Below are 8,725 nucleotides of genomic sequence, written 5' to 3'. Positions count from 1 at the left end.
GCTGGGATTATACGTGTGAGCCACTGTGCCCAGCCAATTTTTTTTTCAATGTTTTAAGACTTGTTTTGTGACCTAACATATGGCCTATCCTTGAGAATGATCCATGTGCTGAGGAAAAGAATGTGTATCCTGCAGTCATTGGGCAAAATGTTTTGTAAATATCTGTTAGATCCATTAGGTGTATAGTGCAGATTAAGTCTGATGTTTCTTTCTTGATTTTCTGTCTGGAAGATCTGTCCAAATCTGAAAGAGGGGTGTTGAAATCTCCAACTATTATTGTATTGGAGCCTATCTCTCTCTTCAGCTCTAATAATGTCTGCTTTGCATATCTGGGTGTTCCAGTATTATGTGCATATATATTTTAAATTGTTGTATCCTCTTGCTGAATTGACCTCTTTATCATTACATAGAGTCCTTCTTTGTCTTTTGTTTCGTTTGGTTTTTTTTGGGATGGAGTTTGGCTGTTTCACTCAGACTGGAGTGCAGTGGCATGATCTCGGCTGACTGCAACCTCTGCCCCCCGGGTTCCAGTGATTCTCCTGCCTCAGCCTCCCAAGTAGCTGGGATTATAGGCACGCACCACCACACCTGGCTAATTTTGATATTTTTAATAGAGTTGGGGTTTCACCATGTTGGCCAGGCTGGTATCGAACTCCTGACCTCAGGTGATCCACCCACCTCGGCCTCCCAAAGTGCTAGGATTACAGGCGTGAGCCACTGCGCCTGGGCCTCTTTGTCTTATAGTTTTTGTCTTCAAATCTATTTTGTATGATACAAGTATAGCTACTCCTGCTCTTTTTTGGTTTCCACTGACATGAAATATATCTTTTCATCCCATTATTTTAAGTCTATGTGTGTCTTTACAGGGGAAGTGGTTCGTAATATCTAGGCGGGGAGAGTAGGGTGATATTACTCGCCATATTGTGGGGGGTGTCCACCCCCCTGTGATATGGTTCGTAATATCCATTGTGGGAGATGGGGGTGATATTACTCGTTAATATTCTAGGGGGATGATACTTCTAAAGTCGCAAAGGGTGCACACCCTGTGATATCATTGGTAATATTCTAGGGGGATGTTACTCCTAATGTAACAGGTGTCTACACCCTGATATAATTATTCACAACATACTAGCGGTATACTACTACTAATGTCACAATGTGTGTACACCTTTTGATATTATTTGTAATATACTGGGGGGATGTTACTGCCAATGTCACAGGGGTGTACATGCTGTGATATTATTTGTAATATTCTAAGTGGGTACTTTTAAAATCATAGGAGGTGTACACCCTGTGATGTTATTTGTAATATCCTAGGAAGATGTAACTCTTAATGTCACATGGGGTGTACACCCTGTGATATTATTTGGAATATCCTATGGGGATGCTACTCCCAATGTCACAGGGGATGTAACACCCTGTGATATTCGGAATATCCTAAAGGGATGTTACATTTAATGTCACAGATGGGGTACACCCTTTGATATTATTCGTAATATCCTAGGGAGATATTACTTGAAAAATCACAGTGGGTGTACACACAGGGCATATACCCTGTGATATTATTCACAATATCCTAGGGAGGTGTAACTTTTATTATTACAGTAGGTGTACACTATGGGTGTACACCCTGTGATATTATTTGTAATATTTTTGGAAAAATGACTCAATATCACAGTGGGTGTACACACTGTGATATTATTCATCATATCCTAGAAGTAGATTACTCCTATTGTCACAGCGGGTTAACACCCTGTGACATTATTTGTAATAAACCAGGGGGATAATTCTCTTAAAGTCACAGGGTGTGTACACCCTGTGATATTATTCATAATATTCTAGAGGGATGTTACTCCTACTGTCACAAATATGTACACCCTGTGATATTATTCACAGTGTACTAGCTGGATATTATTACTCATGTCACAATGCATGTACACCTTGTGATATTATTTGTAATATCCTAAGGGGAAGTTACTCCTATTGTCACAGGGGGTGTACTTTCTGTGCTATGATTCGTAGTATCCCAGGGGGATGTCACTCCTACCATACAAAGTGCGTACACCTTGGTATATTATTCGTAATATCCTAGAATGATGTTACTCCTCATGTCACGGGGGTGTATATCCTGTGATATGATTCTTCACATTCTAGGAAGATGTTATTCCTAATATCACAGAAGGTGGACAACCTGTGAAGTTATTCATAATAGTTTTGGGGGATGTTACTCCTAACGTCACACATGGTGTACAAACAGTGATATTATTTGTAATGTTGTAATGTTTTTTGGAAATGTTACTCCTGATATCACAGGGGCTGTACACCCTGTCATATTATTCGTAATATCATGAAAAAATGTTACCACTAATGTCACAGGCTGTGTACACCGTGTGGTATTATTCCCCATATTGTAGGGTGATGTTACCCCTAATGTCACAGAAGGTGTTCACACTCTGATGATATTCATAATATCCTAAAGGGATGTTACTGATGTCACAATGCATGTACACAATCTGATATTATTTGTTATATCCTCGGGGGGTGTTACTTCGAATGTCACAGGGGGTGTACTCCCTGTGATATTATTCCTAATATCCTAGGTGGATGTTACTTCGAATGTCACAGGGGGTGTACACTTTGCGATATTATTCATAATAATTTAGAAAGATGTTACTCCTAATGTCACAGAGGTGTACACCCTGTGAAGTTATTCAAAATAGTATTGGGGGCTGTTACTCCTAATGTCACACGTGGTGTACAAACAGTGATATTATTCGTAATATTTTTTTGGAAATGTTACTCCTAATATCACAGGGGATCTACACCTGGTAATATTATTCGTAATATCCTAAAGAAATGTTACCTCTAATGTCACAGGGGGTGTACACCATGTGATATTGTTCCCAATATTGTAGGGGGATGTTACTCCTAATGTTCCAGGGGGTGTTCACACTGTGATAATATTCGTAATATCCTAAATGGATGCTACTGCTAATGTCACAATTCACGTACACCCTCTGTATTTGTTCGTTATATCCTCAGGGGATGTTACTCCTACTGTCACACAGGGTGTACTCCCTGTGATATTATTCATAATATCCTAGGTGAATGTTCCTCCTAATGTCACAGGGGATGTGCATTTTGTGATATTATTCACAATATCCTAGAAAGATGTTACTACTCATGTCACAGGGGATGTACACCCTGTTATATTATTCATAATATCCTAGGGGACGTTACTCCAAATGTCACAGAAGGTGTACCCTCTGTGATATTACTCGTAATATTTCAGGGAAATGTATTCCTAATGTAACAGGGCATGTACATCGTGTGTGCACACCCCCTGAGATGTTATTTGTAATATTCTCCAGGGATGTTAATCCTAATATTACATATGCTGTTCACCATGTGTGAACACCTTTGTGCTATTATTCCTAATATACTAGAAGGATGTTACTCCTAACATTACATGGGGTATATGCCATGTGTGTACACATTCTGTGATATTATTCATAATATCTTAGACAGATGCTACTCCTAATTTTACAAGGTGTGTACACCATGTGTGTACACCCCCTCTGATATTATTCGTAATATTCTAGGAGGATGTTACTGCTAAATTCACAGGGGGAGTATACCAGGTGTATGCAACCCTGGTGATATTATTCCTAATATCTTAGGGGGATGTTGCTCCTAATGTCACATGCAGTGTACACGATGTATGTACACCTTCTGTGATACTATTCATATATCACAGAAAAAGATTATGCCTAATGTAACAGGAAGTGTACACCATGTGTGTAAACCACCTTTGATATTATTTGTAATATACTAGGGGGATGTTACTTTTAATGTCACAGAGGGTGTACAAAATGTCACAGGGGGTATATGCCTTATGATACTATTCATAATATCGAGAAGGATGTTAGTCCTAAGGTCAGAGGGGGTGTACCCCCTTCTATATTATTTGTAATCTTATAGGGAGATATTACTGTAAATATCACAGTGGGTGTACACTATGTATACTATGTATACACCCACTGTGATGTTATTTGTAATATCTTAGAGATATTACAGAGTTATATCTCTCTGTATTATATTAGAGAGTTATATCTCTCTAAGATAGTACAAATAATACCATAGCAGGTGTATCTCATGTGTGTACACACTGTGATATTATTTGTAATATCCATGGTAAACATTACATCTAATATCACAGAGAGTGTACTCCCTGTGATATTTTTCATAATATCATAGGGAGATATTGCTTCTAATATCACAGTGGGTGTACACCATGTGTGTACATTCTGTGATATGATACCTTATATCCTAGGGAGATATTTCTCCAGATACCACAGTGGGTATACACCTTGTGATATTATTCATAATATCCTAGAAAGATGTGACTCCTAATATAACAGAGGGTGTACACCCAGTGATATTCTTCATAATATCCTAGAGAGATATTACTCCTAATGTCACAGGGGTTGTACACCCATGATATTATTTGTAATATTCTAGGGGGATATTACTTTTAAAGTCACAGGGGGCGTACACCCTGTGATGTTATTCCTAACATCCTGAGAAGATGTTACTCTTAATGTCACATGGGGTGTACACCCTGTGATATTATTTGGAATATCCTATGGGAATGCTACTCCTAATATCACAGGGGGTGTACACCCAGTGATATTATTTGGAATATCCAAAAGGGATGTTACTTTTAATGTCACAGACAGGGTACGCCCTTTGATATTTTTCATAATATCCCAGGGAGATATTACTTCACACCATGTGTGTACACCCACTGTGATATTATTCACAATACCCTAGGGAGATATATAACTTTTAATATCACAGTAGGTGTACACGCTATGTGTATAATATCACTATTGTGATATTATTCATAATATCTTACAAAACTAGGACTCCATATTATTCCTAATATCCTGGAGGGATGTTACTCCTCATGTCACGGGGGTTAATACCCTGTGATATTATTCGTAATATTGCAGGGGGATGATACTTTTAAAGTCACAGGGTGTATACTCCCTGTGACATTATTCCTAATATCCTAAGGGGATGTTACTCCTAATGTCCCAGGGATGTACACCCTGTGATATTATTCATAGTATATGAGAGGGATATTAGTACTAATGCCACAATGCATGTACACTTTGTGATATTATTCGTAATATCCTAAGGGGATGTTACTCCTATTGTCACAGGGGGTGTGTTCCCTGTTATATTATTTCTAATATCCTAGAGGGATATTACTCCTAACGTCACAAGGTGTGTACACTTTATTATATTATTCATAATATCCTAAAACTACGTTACTCCTCATGTCATAGGGGGTGTTCACCCTGTGATATTATTCGTAATAGTTTTGTGGGATATTACTCCTAATGTCACATGGGGTGTACACACAGTGATATTACTTGTAATATTCTATAGAAATGTTACTTGTAAATCACAGGGGCTGTACCTCCTGTGATATTATTCGTAATATTCTAGGGGAATGTTACTCCTATTGTCACAGGGCGTGTATACCCCGTGATATTACTTGTAATATCCTAGTGGGATGTTACTACTAATGTCACAATGCGTGTACACCCTGTGATATTATTTGTAATATCCCAAAGAGGTATTACTACTAAGGTCACAATGCATGTACACCCTCTGATATTATCCGTTATATCCTCGGGGGATGTTACTCCTAATGTCACACGGGGTGTACTCCCTGTGATATTATTCGTAATATCCTAGGGGGATGTTACTTTTAATGTCACAGGGGGTGTATACCATATGTATTCAATGCCTGTGACACGATCCCTAATATCCTAGGGGGATGTTCCTCCTAATGTCACATGGGGTGTACACCATGTGTGTATACCTGCTGTGATATTATTCTTAATATCCCAGGGGGATGTTTCTTTTAATGTCACAAAGGGTGTACAAAGTGTACAAAAGGTCACAGAAGTGTACACCTTGTGATGTTATCTGTAATATCCTAGAAGGATGTTACTTCTAATGTCACAGGGGGTGTACACCCTTTGATATTATTTGTAATCTCATAGGGAGATATTACTTCAAATATGACAGTGGATTTACACACATGGCGTATACCCTGTGATATTATTCATAATATCCTAGGGAGATACAACTCCTAATATCACAGTGGGTATACCCCGTGTGTGTACACCCTTGATATTAGTCTTAATATCCAGGGTAAATATTACTCCTAGTATCACAGTGTATGCACACCCTGTGATATTTTTCATAATATTTTAGGGAGATATTGCTTCTAATATCACAGTGGGTATACCCCGTGTGTACACTCTGTGATAGTATTTTTTATATCCTAGGGAGGTATTACTCCTAATATCACAGTGGGTGTTCACCCTGTGATATTATTGATATTTGACCTTGCTGCTTTTTTTTTTTTTTTTTTTTTTTTTGAGACAGAGTTTTGCTCTTGTTGCCCAGGCTGGAGTGCAATGGCGTGATCTCAGCTCACCACAACCTCCACCTCCCAGGTTCAAGCGATTATCCTGCCTCAGCCTCACTAGTAGCTGGGATTACAGGCATGTGCCACCACGCCTGGCTAATTTTGTATTTTTAGTAGAGACGAGGTTTCTCCATACTGGTCAGGCTGGTCTTGAACTCCCGACCTCAGGTGATCCATCTGCCTCAGCCTCCCAAAGTGCTGGGATTACAGGCATGAGCCACCGCGCCCGGCCAGACCTTGCTGCCTTTTTAAACCCACACTACAAAAGGAATGGAACAGATAATAAGATATTGAGATTAGACTGTTCTGCCGTGCAGGCGCCGCAGGACACTTTTAATATCCCTGTTTCTCAGGCTGTAGATGAAGGGGTTCAGCATGGGGGTGACCACCGTGTACATCACTGAGGCCACTGCACCCTTTCTGGGGGAAGATGACACATCTGAACTGAGGTACCCTCCAACGCCTGTTCCATAAAATAAGCAAACAACTGACAGGTGAGACCCACAGGCAGAGAGGGCTTTATAGTTCCCACCTGATGATGAAACCCTCAGAATGGAGGAAACAATTTTATAGTAAGAGAAAAGGATCCCCGAGGTGGGAAGAAAACCAAATATGGCAGCAGGGAAATACATGACTATGTTATTGGTGAAGGTGTCACAACACGCATGGTGGGGGAGTTGAGAAGGGTCACAGAAGAAATTAGGAATTTCCACATCCTTGAAGCAGGTAATTTGCAAGGCAATCAAATTGTGCAGCTGGGAGTCTAAAAGACTGAGACAACAAGACAACAGAACTAGAAAGCCACAGAAACATGGGTTCATGATGGCTGAATAATATAGAGGGTGACAGATGGCTACAAACCGGTCATAGGGCCATCACACTCAGGAGCATGTCTTTCTTCCATGCCTCCAAAAATGGCAAAAAGAGACATCTGAGTCAGGCAGCCCGCATAGGAGATGACTGCTGTGAGATTGGATGTCCACAATCATCTTGGGGACCATGGTGGAGGTGAAACCGATGTCAGGCAAGGACAGGTTGGAGAGGAAGAAGTACATGGGGGTGTGGAGGTGGGAGTCAGGGCTGACGGCCAGGATGATGAGCAGGTTCCCCAGCACCATGACCAGGCACATGGACAGGAACAGCCCAGCGAGGACCGGCTGTAGTTCTGGATCCTCTGAGAGTTCTAGGACGAGGAATATTGAGACATCTGTTGTTAGATTCTGTGGGTCTGTATAGTTTGGACACCTTTGGCCTAGAAAAGAGGGTTGAAAAATCAGAAACAAGCACACCAACACCCAGCACTGTGTCTGCATTTTGGATATAAGCAATTCACAAGTAATGTTTTCAGATTTCAGAGCAATCCACACTCAGCAATATTTTGCAGTTGTGACAAACTCAATTGTCTTATAATTCTTTCATCATTGATTTTTGTGTTATTCACTTCTTGCTGTACACACCTGCCTTAGAGACACTAGATTCAAGAATGTTCCGAGAACCAGATCATCATATATAACAAATTCGTAATTGCTAGAAAATACAGTCTATCTTTTCAGAAGAAAAATATGTAATAAAAACATTCTCTTCACTTTAAGAAAAAGTTTATCCTGGAAAGAGGGAGCGTGGAGCCTCCGAGGCCGAGGACTCGGTCCCAGTTTGGACAGATAGAAGATGTGAGCGCTCTCCCTCTCCCTCTCCCTCTCCCTCTCCCTCTCCCTCTCCCTCTCCCTCTCCCTCTCCGTCTCCCTCTCCCTCTCCCCACGGTCTCCCTCTCATGTGGAGCCGAAGCTGGACTGTGCTGCTGCCATCTCGGCTCACTGCGGCCTCCCTGCCTGGTTCTCCTGCCTTGGCCTGCCGAGTGCCTGCGATTGCAGGCACGCGCCGCCACGCCTGACTGGTTTTGGTGGAGACGGGGTTTCGCTGTGTTGGCCGGGCCGGTCTCCAGCCCCTGGCCGCGAGTGATCCGCCAGCCTTGGCCTCCTGAGGTGCCGGGATTGCAGAGGGAGTCTCGTTCACTCAGTGCTCAATGGTGCCCAGGCTGGAGTGCAGTGGCGTGGTCTCGGCTCGCTACGGCCTACACCTCCCAGCCGCCTGCCTTGGCCTCCCAGAGTGCCGAGATTGCAGCCTCTGCCCGGCCGCCACCCCGTCTGGGAAGTGAGGAGTGTCTCTGCCTGGCCGCCCATCGTCTGGGATGTGAGGAGCCCCTCTGCCTGGCTG

General features: G+C 41.7%; 1 pseudogene across 1 annotated transcript; it reads right to left on the bottom strand.

Annotated features, from left to right (window-relative positions):
- Window positions 1–6,750: 6,750 nt before the first annotated feature.
- On the bottom strand, window positions 6,751–7,909 carry OR7E14P (olfactory receptor family 7 subfamily E member 14 pseudogene; annotated as a pseudogene). The gene has a single exon (NR_045002.1). The product of NR_045002.1 is annotated as an olfactory receptor family 7 subfamily E member 14 pseudogene (transcript).
- Between the last annotated feature and the right edge of the window lie 816 nt (window positions 7,910–8,725).

Source organism: Homo sapiens, chromosome 11 (genome assembly GCF_000001405.40).
Source record: "Homo sapiens chromosome 11, GRCh38.p14 Primary Assembly".
In the NCBI taxonomy this organism is placed as follows: domain Eukaryota; kingdom Metazoa; phylum Chordata; class Mammalia; order Primates; family Hominidae; genus Homo; species Homo sapiens.
Note: the sequence above shows the minus strand (reverse complement) of the source record. Positions and strands in the feature narration are given on the sequence as shown.